The following is an 18915-nucleotide window of genomic DNA, read 5'->3' on the forward strand; positions in this document are numbered from 1 at the left end:
TCTTTGTTTCCTTATCCCCTCAGACTCTGAATTCCTTTATATGCAACATTCCCATCAGGGCCTTGGAACTGCAGAAATTATCTGAAGGAAAACAGGATGCATTGGCTGATTTTTCTAGTTGGCTTTATTGAGCAACCTAAACTAAACATTCTCTAAAATGGTAGCCCCTTAACAAGCAGACACATAGAAAAGAATTTACTCCCTATAGCAGCTACATGAAGTCTTTTTATAATGCTAGGTTGACAAATCAGAAGATGCCTTGACTTACTGAAAATGAAAACTCAAAGTTCAGCAATTGTGAAGAAATATTACATTATACAGTTTTATAAGAATATTACTTTTCTTTTGTCTGTCACTATTATCTAAGGATATTCACTTATTTTTCTGAAAACCAAAATGGTTTTTCTTCTTCAATCACATCATTAACGATAAGCACATTATCATCATCATCATCACTTTGCATTTTCACAGCTCCTCCTTCAGAAGACCTAAAAGCATTCTAGAAACATTATCTATTATTTTTGCAACTTTTCTTCTAGTCTTGTGGGGTATGAAAGAATACGATTACATAAATCTGAAGCAGAATATAGGCCTTTTATTATGTTGTGTACCTGGGACAAACTGACTTTTCTTTTTTTAATGAGGCAAAAGTCAAACTGAAAATATGAAAGCAGCTTATGAGCAAAATAGTGAATAAAAACAAAAAGACATATGATATACACACTATGAATGTGATATGCATATTATTTAAGGAGTCTACAAACTATACGGCCAGAACTATTTACTGGGTCTGGCATCTCCTAGACAAATGGCTTTAAATGAAGAGCTGGACGTTTGCACCCGGGGTTAAAAAGAGATTTTTACAGGGCTACTGAAAATCTGTCAGCAGATCTTTAAAAAAGACATCAGTCATATTTGACTTTACTTTTGTTCTTGAGAACTAAGGTTGAGAGATACCTAACAGAATATTTCCATTTAGAGGTTGCTCTGGTATTAGGAGTCAAAAGGAGAAAAAGATAGCACAATATATAAATATCAACCCAGTTAAAATTTTGTTTTTTTAGAGAGGATTTCTTTTCTTTTTTTTTTTTTTTTTGATGAAGTCTCATTTTTGTCGCCTAGGCTGGAGCGCAATGGTGTGATCTCAGCTCACTGCAACCTCCCCCTCCCAGGTTCAAGCAATTCTCTCCTGCCTTAGCCTCCTGAGTAGCTGGGATTACAGGTACCCACTACCAAACCCAGCTAATTTTTTTTCTATTTTTAGTAGAGACAGGGTTTTGCCATGTTGGCCAGGCTGGTCTTGAACTCCTGACCTCAGGTGATCTACCCACCTCGGCCTCCCAACATGCTGGGATTACAGGCATGAGCCACCACTCCCAGCAAGGATTTTTTTTTTTAAAAAAACCAATCCAATGATTTTGGAAGATCCTCTACAAGGATGAACCATCACAATGAAGGGATTGGGTGAATATTGAAGTGATAAAAATAAGTGAATACTACAATTTGAGTCATGCTTGTCCCATTAAATAATTTTAGGCAGTTGTTCATGTGTTTTAAAAATAAAACACAACTGGAGATAAAAGAAAACTATATCATCTAAATCACCATCTCTAACAACCTCATCCTGTGGGGCTATCCTGGAAATAAAAGTGCTGTGGTAAAAAATAAAAAAATGAAAAATAACAGACAAGGAGAAAACAAAACATCTGTGTTCTGATTCTTGAGTCTATCATGTGATAGTTGTGTGACTTTAGAAGAGTTGATCCTTTCTGGGCCTCAGTTTCCTCAGCCATCAAATAAGATAACAACACAACACAGGGTTTGTGAACATAAAATGAAAGTGACAGTTACAGACATACTTCAAGTATAACATAGAAAAGCAACCCACAGTAAGTTTCCAGACATTTTTGATATTAACTCTGTGACAAGGTTTTTTTTGCCTTCTCACTTGCAAAATGTGACAGTATCTATGGTTGTTTCTCTAAACTGTAGACATAGGTTTGCTATTAAAAATTTGTAGCCCTCTTATTTCAGAAAGCCAGGGCAGACCAAGCCTGTAAATTACATAGTCTACTGTCATCTTCTTCTGAGAAAACCAGGAAATCCTGCCACGTGGCCTTCGTTGATAGGACAAAGGATTGAAGCCTGGGCCAGGAGCAGCCCAATAAAGAGGTGCTTTATTGGCCAGGCACAGTGGCTCACGCCTGGAATCCCAGCACTTTGGGAGGCTGAGGAGGGTGGATCACCTGAGGTCAGGAGTTCGAGACCAGTCTGGCCAATATGGTAAAACCCCATCTCTACTCAAAATACAAAAATTAGCCAGGCGTGCTGGCAGGCACAAGTAGTCCCAGCTACTCAGGAGGCTGAGGCAGGAGAATTGCTTGAACCCGGGAGGCGGAAGTTGCAGTGAGCCGAGATCACGCCACTGCACTCTAGTCTGGGAGACAGAGCAAGACTCTGTCTCCAAAAAAGAAAAAAAAAAGAGGTGCTTTATCAGATGGTGGCTGTGTGGGCCAGTCCAATCTCTCCTTGCTTCCGGAGCTCAGGTAGGAGGCAGAGACCATCAGAGACACCTTGGAGATCCAGAGAGACCAGATCATTGGGTAGTACCAGGTAGACCTAGCTCAGCTCCCCCTAGCCATAAGCACCTTTTCTAGTTTGCACCAAGGCTCCTTATGTGCCACCTATGGCCTGGGAGAGAAAACAGAATGGCTGAACACTGAAACAGAAGAGTTGGGATTTTTTTTTGATACTTCTACTACCCAAGACTTCTCTGACTAGTTTACTTATAACTTTGGGGATATAAAGGGAAGTGTGGCAGGATTATGCAAGCCAAAGATTATGCATGTGCTCAATAAATGTGTATTAAACTCCTACCCTGGTTATAGCAATAAATAAAATGAAGTTTCCCTCTTCTTCTGGATCTTACATACTACCTGGGAAGGCAGTCAATAAATAGGTTAAAATATGTACTTTAAAAGCTGAGAGGAGAATACAGAGTAGGCTTGGATACAGGGAGTGGAGAATTTTCTTAGAGTGTCGGTTTTACCCATAAATACTGTGTGTAGAAATTTCAATGTAAGAACTAAAGAATTGATTATATTGTGTTATACAAATATCTAATGACTGTTTAGGATTTTTTTCCTAATGAGCTTTCAAAGACTTGATGGAGAAGTGTGGGGGGAACTGCAACACTCTATAAGAGGCTGAGCTCCAGACTCCTGAGAAAAAACATTTACTCGGCTGGGCGCGGTGGCTCACGCCTGTAATCCCCACACTTTGGGAAGCCGAGGTGGGGGGATCATGAGGTCAGGAGATCGAAACCATCCTGGCTACCACAGTGAAACCCCGTCTCTACTGAAAATACAAAAAAAAAAAAAAAAATTAGCCAGGCATGGTGGCAGGCACCTGTAGTCCCAGCTACTCGGGAGGCTGAGGCAGGAGAATGGCGTGAACCCGGGAGGCGGAGCTTGCAGGAGCCGAGATCACGCCATTGCACTCCAGTCTGGGCGACAAGAGCGAAACTCCATCTCAAAAAAAAAAAAAATTTAAAAAAAATTTAAAAAAATTTACTCTTCTCTGTAGCTAATGGTAATTTGATAGAAATTTCTGAAAAAACACAGACTTATGATTACCTGGGTACATCTTTGTTCCATTCAATTGAATGAACTTAAGATAAAGTGTACACCCAATTTATTGCCTCACTGCCTCGAAACCACCTATTTTGTCGTATATTGCTAATGAGACTTGGCATTTATTTCAATGAGTGCTCCTGAGTCATCCTTTTAAGTTACAACAATTCAACCAAGGTGTGATCTTGGTTCACCCCTGCCACTTAAAATCTGTATAAGATGATTTTCAACTATGAGCTTACATACTGCGGGAAATCTGAAGGTTTTCATGGGCATATTTAGAATTTCTTGGGGTTTCTATTATTCTTTTGTTAGCCCTGGCTCCGATTTCCAGCTCTATTCAATATTCTCCTGCATTTTGTGTCTTGTGACTGGGCCCTTTATTCTTTTTTTGGTGTCTTCTATTTACACATTGCCAACCCCTCAGTACTAACACACACTCCTCCATCTCACCCACACAAGGCAGCTCTTAGAGATAAACATTTGCTGAAGAAAATGAGAAAATGCTAGAGATCTTTTCTTTTCTTTCCTTTTTTTTTTAGAAAGGGTCTCACTTTGTCAACTACCCCACGCTGAAATGCAGTGGCACGATCATAGCTCACTGCAGCCTTGACCTCCCAGACTCAAGCCATCCTCCTGCCTCAGCTTCCCAAGTAGCCGAGACCACAGGCATGCGCTGCCATGCCCAGCTAATTTTTTTATTATTTATAGAGACAGAGTCTCCCTCTGTTGCCCAGGCTATTCTTGAACTCTTGGGTTCAAGTAATCTTCCCACCTCGGTCTCCCAAAATGCTTGGGATTGCAGGTATGAGCCACTGTGCCTCGCCTTAGAGAAATTGTCAATGGACAATTGAAAATTGGACATCACTTTTCTCTATTCTTAACCTTAATGATTATTGTCAACTCAAGATCCAAATTTTTATAAGTTGACCCAGCACCTCCTACTTTCCCTTCTACCTCATTAAATCTCCTCTGTTCTCCATTGCCCACTCTCCCTATCAATCCTATTTTTTTGAAAAAGAAGTTTGGCCAGGGTTTATTTCCTCCTTCTAATATATTTCTAAATGCCTTACCTTCCACTTTCAAGGAGTTTATCAAGGTTTTTCCCCAAATATAATTCTTTCCCTCAGGGGGAATAAATTACCAGTCAGTAAAATATTTTTCTAACTTCTCTATATAAAGAAATTTTAAAATATCTCATTTATTTTAGATAAAATAGTGACCACCTCAATGTAACCTCTCATTTTCCTGCTCAAGTGGAAAACCATCATGAGTCTCACCATCACCATTGCCACAACCACCATGATGACATTTTAATAACAGACAACTTTCTTGTATTATATTCCTTCTGTTGACAAAGAAAAATGGAATGGCAATGCATTTTTTAAAAATTGATTTGAGCTAGCTTAAAACAAGGGTAATTGTAAAGCTGGACATTTGTGTCCTAAGGAGATTCCTCACTGGGCAAATGGCTCAGTAATGGCCACAATCTTTTAGCCAGTCTTTACACTCACAAGCCCGGCTGCACAGTGTGAAATTGAAAAGAAAAAGTAACTATGTCTGTTCTGCATAATATGTAAACATTTGGCATCCTTTGTGAGCAAAGTTGTGCTAAGAAACAGCTAGAAAAATGTCATTTCCATATATATTTAGATTTCACTGTCTCTGAGAGTTCAGTTATTCTTGATGTGTGTGTGTGTGTGTGTGTGTGTGTGTGTGTGTGTGTGATTACCTAATGATTACCTACTTGGACAACAGAAGAATTAGGAGACCTATCTGCAACTCACACTGGTGGGAAACTATAGAAGAGGCTAAACTTAAATGTTCACACCTGGACTGGACTGGAGGTGAGGCTCAGAGTAGCACATGCCCTATTGGAGCCTCCAGGATATTAGTTTAGACTTACAGACTGATGGGATGAGATGACTCCATAGTGAGTAGGCAGCATTTTCAAAAGACAGATGAAGTAGAAGGGAGCTCTCTTTCAACAGAAAACAAATTTGAACACTGGGGAAGAAAGGAAAGCTAGGAACTGCAGTGGACCCACTGCAGTGGACTTTGGTTTGCTAGGGGCTCAGTTTCCCTCACATATTCTCCCATCTTCATTTTCATTCCTTCTGACCCCCAACCCTCACCTAACAGCATTTGAGAAGGTCATATAACCACTTGTGCACAATGCAGTGTGGAGGACAAAGTACAAGGTGGTAAAAGCAGACGGGTTCTGCCCCATATTCTTCCTTTGCTGGGCCCAAGAAGGATGCAACCCGACAGTAAGGGACACTGCCAGGAGTTCTAGGCCATCAAAGGCAGTGGACAGGACTGAGCAGTCACTCCTGCAGAGCCAAAGTCAGTGAGATAGAGCAAGAGATGACTCGGGAGGGATAGGAGTCCAACTCTATGCCCCAATATATACCAAAGGAGGTGACCCTCAAAGCGAGTGGAAGGCAGAGGCTTGGCTTATTCCTGGTGGAAGAATCAAATGGCATTGGGCACCTCAGATGCATCAGCAATGTCAACTCAACAATAAAGAACATTGTGTTATAGTAATGTGAAATGAAAGAAAATAAATATTCTTTTTCTTTTTTCTTTTTTCCTTTTTTTTTTTTTTTTTTTTTTAGACGGAGTCTCGCTCTGTCATTCAGGCTGGAGTGCAGTGTTGCAATCTCGGCTCACTGCAACCTCCGCCTTCTGTGTTCAAGCAATTCTCTTCCTCAGCCTCCCGAGTAGCTGGGATTACAGGTGCCCGCCACAACGCCTGGCTAATTTTTGTATTTTTAGTAGAGACGGGGTTTCACCATCTTGACCAGGCTGGTCTTGAACTCCTGACCTCATGATCCACTCGCCTCGGTCTCCCAAAGTGCTGGGAATACAGGCGTGGGCTACTGCGCCTGGACTTTTTTTTTTTTTCTTTTTTTTTTTAGACGGAGTCTCGCACTGTCGCCCAGGCTGGGGTGCAGTGACGGATCTCAGCTCACTGCAACCACCGCCTCGCCTCCCAGATTCAAGCGATTCTCCTGCCTCAGCCTCCTAAGTAGCTGGGATTACAGGCGCCCACCACCACACCTGGCTAATTTTTGTATTTTTGGTAGAGATGGGGTTTCGCCATGTTGGCCATCTGGTCTTTAACTCCTGACCTCAGGTGACCCACCCGCCTCAGCCTCCCAAAGTGCAGGGATTACAGGCATGAGCCACCGCACCCAGCCGAAATATTCTTTTTCTAATGCTTATCTATAGGCATATCCAATTCAGGGAAAGGAAATGTGAGCTCTTTGGGAGATGCAGTTTTGGAATTGAACTCTGGAAGATATTTTGGATGTGAGGGCTAACTGCGACTTTTAATAATATTAATTTCTCACAGTAGTTGGGTGTTTTCCAATTTAAAAAGGGCTGACATTTACAAAAATGTATTTCTTTAGAAAGGTATGAATCTGGTAAAAGAGAAAATGATTGCTTTGCCCACTGGGGAGGTGCTTGGGGAGACTTCCTCTGCCTCATGTCACCTGCTGGTCTTTTCTGAACTCCATACTTGGGCGGGCATCCAGCACTCTAATCCATACCACACCCTCCTCATTTTGGCTCTTGAGAGAAAAACTGGTAAACAGTTTGGTTTTAGACAGCAAGTTCATGCCTTTAGTAATAAGGAAAGCTTATTTCTAACTTCTCTGAAAAGGATATAATAATGCCTTTAATAAGGAAAGCTTATTCTGACTTCTCTGTAAAAGAAATAACCATAATGCTTTTGTTGAAGTGACATCACTGAACTATAATTATTTTCTAGTACAGAGGGGTGTGTAAGGAGGAATTTTGTAGAATATGTAATGTGCAGTAGTAATCCCAGCTACTCGGCAGGCTGAGGCAGACAATTGCTTGAACCTGGAAGGTGGAGGTTGCAGTAAGCCGAGATCACGCCACTGCACTCTAGTCTGGGTGACAGAGTGAAACTCGGTCAAAAAAAAAAGAAAGAAAGAAAGAAAAGAAAGAGAGAGAGAGAAAGAAAGAAAGAAGGAAGGAAGGAAGGAAGGAAAGAAAGAAAGAAAAAGAAAAAAAGAAAGAAAAGAAAGAAAGAAGGAAAGAAGGAAAGAAAGAAAGTTCAGAGTAGAGGTTTTTCAAGATATTGTGATAGTTAACTTTATGTGTCAACTTTGCTAGGCCACAGTCCCCAGATATTTGGTCCAACATTATTCTAGATGTTTCTGTGAAGGCATTTTTTTAGATAAGATTAACACTTAAATCAGTAGACTTAGAGTAAAGCAGATTACCCTCCGTAATGTAGGTGGGCCTTACTCAGTTAGTTGAAGGCCTTAAGAATAATAATAATAATAATAATAATAATAACAACAACAATAATAAAGCCTGATGTCCCCAGGGGAGAGAATTCTGCCAGCTGACGGCCTTTGTTCTCCACCTGCAACATCACCTCTTTCCTGGGTCTCCAGCCTGCCAGTCTACCTTGCAGACTTTGAACTTGACAGCCTCCACAATCATGTAAGCCAATTGCTTAAAACCTCTCTCTGGGTGTGTACACACACACACACACACACACACACACACACACACTCTCTCTCTCTCTCTCTCTCTCGGTTCTATTTCTCTGGAGACCCCAGGCTAATACAGATATTAAGAATATCTTGCACCATGACTATTCCATTAATAAAATTCCATTCTCATTTTTTATTTGAAGGAGAGAAAATCATTTTATAAATCAAGAGGATGTGCCAGTTTACAACAGTTTTGTCCAAATGCCAATTTACCCTTTCTTGAAAAGGTACTCTTGAAAGAAGATAGAAATCTCCACCCCTTCCATGAGCCACGGAATTAGTAGGGAATCCCTTGATCAAAACTAAATGTCATATTGGTATTCAAGAAATTTTCCATAATTACACATGAATTCAATAAGAATAACCCACCTGCTGCAGGGTGTGAGAGGGAACCTGACAGAGAATAAAATGGAAAGACAGAGCTGGTGGCACCAAATGACCACAGTCTACCTGGTGCAGGGGATGGACTCTGGAGATAGGGTGGATTCCAGGTATTAGTAACAGCACAGTGACAAGAAAAGCTTCAAGTAGCTCATCCTACCAAAGTCACTTTACTACCAATAAATCACAGAAATCCCAAAAGCATTGCATTCAAATCATAAGAAGAAAAACCTCTTACCTTCAAAACTCTTTCCCCACATGCAAATCCCTGGTGGCTTAGCTTAAAAGCCAGAAGCATTTGAAAAGAATACTATTTATCTATTAATCATGGATTTTTCTGCCAACTTTTTCAGACTAAAGATTGTTCTGATATGTAAGAAATTCAGAAGAAACACTAGATTTGCTTTTAAAAGAGTAAGCTTCCTTTATAAAAAAGATTATATTTTACTGTACAAATTAAATTAGGAGTTATTTTTTTCAAAAGCACTGATTTCTAAATTTTTTGACTATCATATTTCTACAAGTGTCATTTAAACTACTAATCAAAATGTTCAAAATAACTGAGTTAAAGTAAAATTTAACAAATACATATTTCACAAATTAAAGTGTCTTTAGGTATGCAACCCTAACCATGAGTGTATATTTAGAAATTATATTCTTGTAATATTTACTAATGTGTCATGACTGTTATAAAACAAATACAAAGGTAGAACATTTTAGAGAACAGTGTAAAAAAAAATTTTGAAAGATCTAGTATTCTTTCTTTATTCCACAATAGGTGGTCTTGTTTAGACCCCACATAGAGGAAGACTGCCATAGAGAGCACCTCTTCAATTTCTGGCCATCTGAACTCCTATAGAGTATTAATCTACTGGAAATATAAAAGTGATAACTTTATTTTAGCTTGATAAATACAAATCAGTCCAATGTGGCCTAAACTATTACTATAAAAATTGTTCTAGAAATTCCTTTATCATAGTGATATCATACAAATCTCTGACTTTTCTCCCTGATGTGTTTCTGGGGAAAGTGCTTTTCTAAAGTCCTCAAGAAGCCACTTCAGTACTTCCTCAGAACATAGTTTCATATCTCTTTGTTCAGTACATTTATCTTTGCTGCTTTTTTAAATGGCACATCACATTCTACATTTGTGATTTATTTTTTAGCCCTTCTGTCTCCCACAATACAAATTTAAACTTCCAAGGGCAGGCAAAGCGTCTTCTGTGCCTCTCATTGCTCTGCAAGTAATGGGTGATCCTTAGAGTCATGTTTACTCAGTTCTTCAGAGAAGGAAAGTAATTGATGATCTCACTCTGGTCAGAGAAAGCAAAATAACTTTAATGGTGTCAAACAAATCGCAGTGGCCTTTATTCATAATGCATTCTCTTGAAAGGCCAGCTTGCTGCAAATATATGCCCTGGACCAGCTGAGCAATAAAAAGAACAAGGGTTTGTGACACAATGTTCCAGGAAGTCTGCCAGCCACAATTCTGAGCCTTCTGCAGGGTAGGAAAAGGGCAGCTAGCTTCAAATGCAAGCAAGCCCAGGAGAGAATGAGAAGAGCACAGTGTACCCTCAATACTTGTCAACCCTAACATGAGGATGCACTTGGTCACCATTTTCCAAAAGGAAGGTCAGAACCTCTGAACCTTCCTTGTGCAGAAGTTTTGAAGGTCTGAAGGTGTGTTAGTGGTCCACAGATTCACATTCAAGATACTCAGAACAACAACAAAAAAATCAGGACTAAATTGAGCATTATGATATCATTGTTAGTCATTCCTCCAGTAAAGTAATGAGTTATTTACTATAAAGTGTGAAGTACATGGGAGAAAGTATTATGCTGCAAAGGACCATGAAATTTATTTTGTTTCAACAGAAAACACAGTATCTCAGAAATGGAAGAAAATTTCTCTGCCCAACTCCTTTGTTTATGTCAATTTTTTTTTTTTTTTATTTAATAGGTGAGGAAGCTGAGCATTGGAACTTGTATATTTTCTGAAATACACAAGTAGCTAGTGGAAGTGTCAGGATTGGATTCAGGGCAGAATAACACAAGAGCTAACACTAAGAACTAATTTATTTTATATTTAGTCCTTAGGTCTTTGAAGTATTAATATTTCAGTGTTAAATAACTGGGGAGGTGGGAAAGGGGACAGGAGCAGAAGAAATGTGTTGATTTGCCAAGTCATTTCAAGACCAAGACTCATATTTACATTTTATTTTTGATTGTAAAATTATTACATTTGTGGTAATAAGTTACATCACTATAGAATTGCATTATAAAGACAAAAACCACTAACCTCAAGAGTTGTCGCCGGTCGGCGTGATCCTGAAGTGTGTGTGTTCGTTTCTCAGGTAAAATATGGCTAAAAGCTTATGGAGTAAGTGGAAAAGAAAGATGCGTGCTGAAAAGAGAAAAAAGAATGCCCCAGAGGAGGTCAGCAGGCTTAAAAGTATTCTCAAACTAGACGATGACGTTTTAATGAAAGATGTTCAAGAGATAGCAACTGTGGTGGTACCCAAACCCAAACATTGCCAAGAGAAAATGCAATGTGAGGTAAAAGATGAAAAAGATGACATGAAAATGGAGACTGATATTAAGAGAAACAAAAAGACTCTTCTAGACCAGCATGGACAGTACCCAATATGGATGAACCAAAGGCAAAGAAAAAGGCTAAAGGCAAAGCGAGAGAAAAGAAAGGAGAAAAACAAAGCAAAAGCAGTGAAAGTGGCAAAGGGTTTGGCCTGGTAGACTCTTAAAACCTTGGAAAATGCCACATGGGATAGATGACGGATTACAATGTATACACGTGTATACTTTTATTTCAACTGCCACCAAATGAAAACCATTTGTTTTCCTATTTTAACTTGGCCTTTTTTCTTCAATTCAAACCCAGCATAACTCCTCAAGTTTGTTTTGGGAACTTGAATAAAATATTTTCTTTGATACAAAAAAAAAAACATTTGTCACTGTAAATAGCTATGCAAGTATTATTTCAAATCTTTTTCTATGTTAGCCTAATACGCATGCACACACACTCATTTGTATGATACATTTATGCACATATATAAACAAAAATGTTTTTTGTTTCAAAATGGGTACATACTAGGCAAATTGCTCAGTAATTTGCTGTTTTTCACCTAACAATAAATCAGAGATGTCTTCCTATGGCAGCATGCATAGATCTGCCTCGTTCTTTTTAATGGCAATATCATATTTCATAGTACGTATGTACTGTTGTTTATTCTCCTATTGAGGGAAAAGTAGGTCAGTTCCAATTAGTTACTCTTAAAGAAAATGCTGCGTTAAACATATGAACCCCAATTGTGATGCTATTTCTTCAGGTCAAATATCTAAAAATGGGATTGCTGGGTCTTATTGCTGAATTATTTTAACAAGACTTGTAACACAGGTGTTTGGGGTTTTTGTTTGTTTTCAGAGGGGATTTTTCCTACACATTTAAGTAAAACCTTTGAGAAACTACTTCAACTAGATGCTGAATTACACCTCTAGTGTGTATTCTCTTGTTTTCTGAGTCCACTTTTAAGATCTCTTAATTATAAGATTTTTTAAAATTTATCTTGAAAAGCAATATAATGAATGAAAAATGAGTACAAGTCCACGAATATTCATGTCCCACGGTACATGTTTGGAAATAACTTTCATTTTCAAACTCTGACCTACTTATGACCTTCAAAGTTATACTACTACACTGTGATACAAAACAGCTTTACATCACAGACTCTAAAACAAAAGAGCAAGTATCAAAGATAGCATATTTGATGATATCAACTGGTCCTTCTTCACCTCTCACTCCTCTCTTGATATTTGCTAGGCATCCCTAACATTAAATTTTAAAATCCTTCACATGCGCCAGGTGTCACATATACCCCTGAGACAGCAGCAGTTACAAACCTATTCAAGCATGCTGCAGGAAAACTTGATCTTAGTCCATTAGTACTTTGTAGAATTTCAAATTGGAAAAGACTTTAGAATAAAGAGAGGAAGAAAACTAACTTTTACCAGAACACCTGCATGTGTAGACACTCCTTGGAGATCACCTCTTCTGTTTTTCACAGCCTTCTTGCAGGGGAACTATCCATGGATCCTAAATGAAGATTGTTCAAGGAAACTTACACAGCTGGTACATGATGGATCGGGAATGCAAATCCAGATCTTCTGACTCTAAAATCTATGTTTGTTCTGTTCCTGGAACTGCCTTTGTAATTGTCCATTCGGAATAAATGTTCTCTCATCTATACCAGCAGTCTCCAAACTTTTTAACACCAGGGACCGGTTTTGAGGAAGACAATTTTTCCACAGACTGGGGGTGCAGGATGGTTTTGGGGTGATTTAAGCACATTACATTTATTGTGCACTTCATTTCTTTTATTATTACATGGTAATATATAATAAAATAATTATTCAACTCACCATAATGTAGAATCAGTGGGAGCCCTGAGCTTGTTTTCCTGCAACTAGATGGTCCCATCTGGGGGTGATGAGCGACAGTGACAGATCATCAGGCATTAGATTCTCATAAGGAGCATGCAACTTAGATCCCTCGCAGGCACAGTTTACAATAGGGTTCATGCTTTTGTGAGAATCTAATGCCACCGCTAATCTGACAGGAGGTGGAGCTCAGGCAATAATGCAAGCAATGGGGAGCAGCTATAAATACAGATGAAGCTTTGCTCGCCTGCCCCTCACCTCCTGCTGTGTGGCCCAGTTCCTAACAGTCCATGGACGAGTACCGGTCCATGGCCCAGGTGTTGGGGACCCCTGATCTACACCATATAGGTGAGAGAATGTAAGTGTTTTTTCTGAAGCCCACATAGCTAGCAACAGTGCTAACTTCCAATCCAACATGACATCCAGTGAGATTGATGGGTTTAGTGTGATTTTGCAAATGGCCTTAATCCCGCCTAACACTCAATATTAAAATAGGTTTCTGTCTCCTCCTGCTGCTTCAGAGTCACTATGTTCCTATCTGTCTCCAGGGTCTGGGTTTCTAATGTGGACGTCACAAACATTCCTTCTGTCTAGTTACTTTCTCTCTAAAGGCTCTCCATTTGTCCACGGTATGAGCATAAACCACAATTGCATTTTGTGTATTTCTTTCCATTTTCACTGCAGAACTTAAAATCCAGCAATATGTAACACCAATCTTAAATCCACACATGGCCAAAGAGAAAGGAGAAATTGAACAGCATGTTGTGGTTGACATTGCTCAGATACTCCAAGGAACTGGAATAGTAATTTTACAGCTGAGATGGAATTAGGGCTCTCAGTTCCAATGATGAAGAGACAGGTCCCTGTAGTGGCCTCTTAGGAAACCATTGCAGTCCCCATTGTCATTAAAAATACTCATAAACTCTTCAGCAATAAAGTCTGTGGCTGCTATCTTCTGGAACTTCTGAAGAGGCTGACTGAAACTTCATGTTTCAGAGACTTTTTACAAATAACCACTGGATAAACAATAACTTCACCAAGGTTCCCCTTAGTTTGATTTTATCTTCAGTTAGCTACTAGATTTGAGCTGTAGCAATCTGTACATTAGATCCACATACTGCATAGCTTTTTTCTTTACTAGAAATTTAAGACTATAAGAGGGCTCTCATTATATTTAAAGCATTCATCAAATGAACAAAACTAAGTGGGTTTAAGTAGAATTTACTATACACACTTAGAGGAACTAAATAACTGACCCTTTCCTTCCAGTTAAAGGCATCAACTTGAAAATTATGTACTATTGTATTTTCCAGTAAATTGGAGATAATAATCATAGTAGCAACTTTTTGTCTATATATTAAAGAAGACCCAGGAAAAATGAATTGTTTTTTAGTTTTCTTTTGAAATGTATCTTCCACAAATAGTTTCTGGAACTCTTCTATATGGCAAAATCTGTAATTCAGGCTTCAGGGCCTCTGTTCTCACTGTCTTTCTTGCTACATGGAATGAGCAGAAAGATATTCATGAAAGATTGACTATGTCCAATTTTCTATGAGTAAAAACAACAGCAACATCAATATTTCAGGATCTGGAAAAAAAACATGGCTATTCTCTTTCCTTGAAAAGATTGTTAGAAATCATGGCATTTTAATGAATTCAAAATAACAGAAGAGATTTTTGGGGCTGTTTGGCTTCTGAAAGTGCAGAGATAAATCAGATTTTCCATAACTTATATTTGAGGAAAAGAGATCCGATACTGTCCCTTTGTAGACCCATGGCAGTGTGAGGTACAAAGTAACCGGTGATCTTTTCATCACTGTCCTGGTGGACTTCTGGTTTCCAGGCAGTTTCAGCTGTCACATTTGCTTAAAGTTTACTGAGCTGTTTTTAGTTACTCATTCAAATATTCATAAGAAGCGAGGACTGCGGTTTGCTGTTTGGTAACAACTTCATTTTCGGCTCACACTCAGCTTGTCCTTGCCGACCGCTTCTTTGGACCCTGACTGGGCTTTACGTGGTCATGTGGCATTTCAAGGATAATGGGGTTTCCTTGGGAGTAGGCAAAAGAAACATGTTCCATCTTTTATCTCTGCTTGGCTGGATGATGCAAATAATTACAGAAGACAGTTATCGATTATTTGAGACAAGTGAAATAATCAAACCTATATCAAGCACTGCTTTGTGCTACCTAAGGCGGCAGATCCTTTAATTATTCACCTTGTGAGACTATGTACACATCAGGAAATACTAAAATGGCAATATATTGGTGCAAATATTTACTCAACAATATTGTTCTGGAATACAATAATGAAAGTACGTTTAATCTCTTGATATGTTCTTGGAAGAAACTGATGGACTGTACCATTTCTTAGCACAGGAGAATCATAACTCTTCATTAGAAACTCTCTATTATTTGATTAAAACTCCGGTTAAATAAATCCTTTAGGTAGACAAGTTCTACTGCTTAGTGGGAAGCTAGTGTCTAATATACGAAATAGCTGCAGTAATAGTATAAATAAGCAATAGTATAATACACAAAGTGCAGTTCTTTAATGAAGCTATAATATCAGCTATACACTGTAATTTTATCATCTAGGTTGCTGCAAAAAGACTTGTCAATCAAGACACATTTCTAAAATAACTTTATGCTTTGACATTAAAACTCTGAATTATCTGGGCTATACTGTACACCATATTTAGAGAAAGGGATTTTTTTTTACCAATTTATTATTTACATCAAATAATGCTCATTTTACAAGCAGAAATGTATGCTTTTTTATTGAATTTGCAACTACTTTTTTTTAAAGACAACTTTACATTTGCACAGTTCTTCTCAACATGAATACCCATTCTGATGCTCCTGAGAGCATTTGTATATTCTAAAAAAGACTGAGCAGGTAAATTCTGTATTATTTCATTTGGATTAGGGGAAAAAACAACCCTATCTGAGGCAAAGCAAAAGGAATTTCAATCTCACAGCCACTGCCCGATAAAAACCTGGAAAAGACCATTAATCTCATTTGTTTTCATTATAGCAAGGCTCGTTACCACAACTTTAGTTAAGGGAGTGCCAACATTTACACCAGCAATTATATATCAGCGAAATTAGTTCTAAAAAATGAAGCTCCTGGTACTATAAACCCTACATTATTTGCCGAGGTCTTTACGTGTTGGAATGGAGGAGGGTACATGTTTTGAATACTTGATAGAATAAACAATTCCTTAAATAATACCTAGCAGACACTGTAAATAATATTAATTCCTAAATGAAGTACCAACATTTCTACATATATGATATAATGTTTTATCTTTTAAAAGTAGATTTTTTTCCTGACATGTTTCTTCCATCTTTGTAAGAAAGTATGAGAAAATGTAAATTTACTCTTTCCTGTTAATCTTTTTAACAGTTCCATGAATGAAAGCGCTATCCAAAGTAGAGATTTCAAACACCAGCGGATGGTAAAGGGAATGCATGTTAGAAACATGCTGTGCATTAAACAGAGGCAAAGACAACGAAGGCTTCATTAAATCAGAACATCTAGCTCTAGTGACATGAAGGAATCTGAGGACTGTGACCTACAGTCCATGTGGTAAAATGCTGGTCTTCTATGCAACTTAGAAAAAAGGTTAGAATGAATATTTCAGAAGTGTCCTTCTCACCGAAAGCAAATTTAATTTCAAGCAGTAGGAGAAAATGGATCGTTAAGGTTTAGTAGGGTTTCACTTTTTCAGAAATGTAGGTACTGTGGCTACACTGTTTATACTAGGAAAGGCAATCCTTTCTTCCCCACCAGCAATAAGATATCCCAAGGCAGGGTCCAGAAACTGCATCAGTCTAAGGGAGGTAAACTAACTTCCAAAGGGGAGATCTGAATGCCAGGTAGTTTATTCAGTGAATGCAGGATGATGATGCACTTAATAATTACAATTACTTATTGAAGCCTTTGTCTGTGACAAGCACTTTACTTCTCTCATCTGATTTAGTCCCCATGTTAACTCAGCAAGGCAAGAATATCTCCATTTTATAAATGAGAAGACTGAGATTCAGAAGTATTATATGAAATGGTCAAGGTCACCTTCCTAGCAAGTGGCAGAGTGAAAATTCAAACTCAGGTTACCTAAATCCCATCTACATGCCCCTTTCACTATATAATACTGCTTGAATTAATAGTTAATAGGCACTATCCTGTCCTCTGGGACTTGTGGAGACAACTATTTCAGCAATGTGGCACTTATCAAAGAGAACCTCTATGGAAGTGAGGTTCCTCCAAATGTAGGTGGAATCTCTTATTTCACCTCCAAATTCACCTCCAAATTCACCTCCAAATGTAGGTGAATTTTAGAGAAAACCCAGAGAGACAAGCTGGATGTGACCCTAGCTGCTGCAGCCAATGGAGACTTTTAAGAGTGAGAAGAAGGAAACAAACTTGGAAAAAAAGACTTCTGAGCAAAAATCAATGAAAAGAGATAGTCTTATAAAAACCCTGGTCACGCAGTACCAGAAGGCAGTTTGCATTCATTTTAACAGAGGAGTTGTAGACCATGTAAGCCTTAGAAGAACTATGTCGTAATTTGTAAGGCTAGGAGCATTAGCACAAAAGAAATATACTTGATTCATCTTGACAAGTTCAAGACCTTGCTTTGCACATGAGACTGAAAGCTCTCAGTCACTGGTACATAACCAATGATAGAAGAAAATGACCAGTCCATCAGAGCTTGACAGGGATCCACATGGAGTCCCTACAGTGGAGCGGAAGATGCTGCTGAGCCAGATACTGATACAAGGGGACTCAGAGCAGGACCAAATGTGAAGCCCAGCCATTCTTCAACGACTGAAACCCAGCCATTCTTGTCTAAAGATTCAACCAATCCCATCTCATGAGAAGGAACTGGGAATTAATGTGCCAAAACTACATCCTAATTGATCTATAATATCATTAGAAGTTGTGATGGTTAATACTGAGTGTCAACTTGATTAGTTTGAAGGATGAAAAGTATTGTTCCTGGGTGTGTCTGTGAGGGTGTTGCCAAAGGAGAATAACATTTGAGTTAGTGGACTGGGAGAGGCAGACCTACTTCTTCTGTCTGTTTTATTCTAGCCACACTGGTAGCTGATTAGATGGTGCCCACCATCTAATGAGTACACCACCCACTCAATCCGGGTGGGCACCATATACTCAGCTGCCAGTGAGGCTAAAATAAAGCTGCACTGGTGCCCACCAACTCAATCTGTGTGGGCACCATCTAATCAGCTGCTGGTGTGGCTAGAATAAAGCAGGCAGAAGTTGGAAAAAGTGGACTTGCTAAGTCTTCTAGCTTCCGTCTTTCTCCCGCACTGGATGCTTCCTGCCCTCGATCATCAGACTACAAGTTCTTCAGCTTTTGGATTCTTGGATTGACATCAGTGATTTGCCAGGAGCTCTTGGGTCTTTGGCCACAGACTGAAGGCTGCACTGTTGGCTTCCCTACTTTTGAGGTTTTGGGATTCAGACTGGCTTTCTTGCTCCTCGGCTTGCAGACAGCCTATCGTGGAACTTCACCTTGTGACCATCTGAGTCAATTCTCCTAATAAACTCCCCTTCATATATACATCTATCCTATTAGCTCTGTCCCTCTAGAGAACCCTGATTAATACAGAAGTTCATGTATATATGTATACTTGAGTATAAGTCATTTTCAAAACTTTACATGGTTTAACCTGTTGTATTAGTCTGTTCTCATGCTACTAATAAAGACATATCCAACACTGGGTAATTTATAAAGGAAAGAGATTTAATTGACCCACAAGTCCAACATGGCTAGGGAGGCCTCACAATCATGGCAGAAGGCAAATGAGGAGCAAAGTCACGCCTTACATGGCAGCAGGCAGGAGAGCTTGTGCAGGGGAACTTCCATTTATAAAACCATCAGAT

The 18915-nt window shown here is 38.9% G+C and overlaps 1 long non-coding RNA gene and 1 pseudogene across 1 annotated transcript in view; one reads left to right on the top strand and one right to left on the bottom strand.

The window, feature by feature from the left end:
• Positions 1-18915, bottom strand: part of LOC105373900 (uncharacterized) — a 54688-nt gene that overhangs the window by 27139 nt on the left and 8634 nt on the right. The gene's annotated exons all lie outside the window — the stretch shown is intronic.
• Positions 10865-11501, top strand: LLPHP3 (LLPH pseudogene 3; annotated as a pseudogene).

The sequence above is a fragment of the Homo sapiens genome, chromosome 2 (genome assembly GCF_000001405.40).
Source record: "Homo sapiens chromosome 2, GRCh38.p14 Primary Assembly".
Classification (NCBI taxonomy): Eukaryota; Metazoa; Chordata; class Mammalia; order Primates; family Hominidae; genus Homo; species Homo sapiens.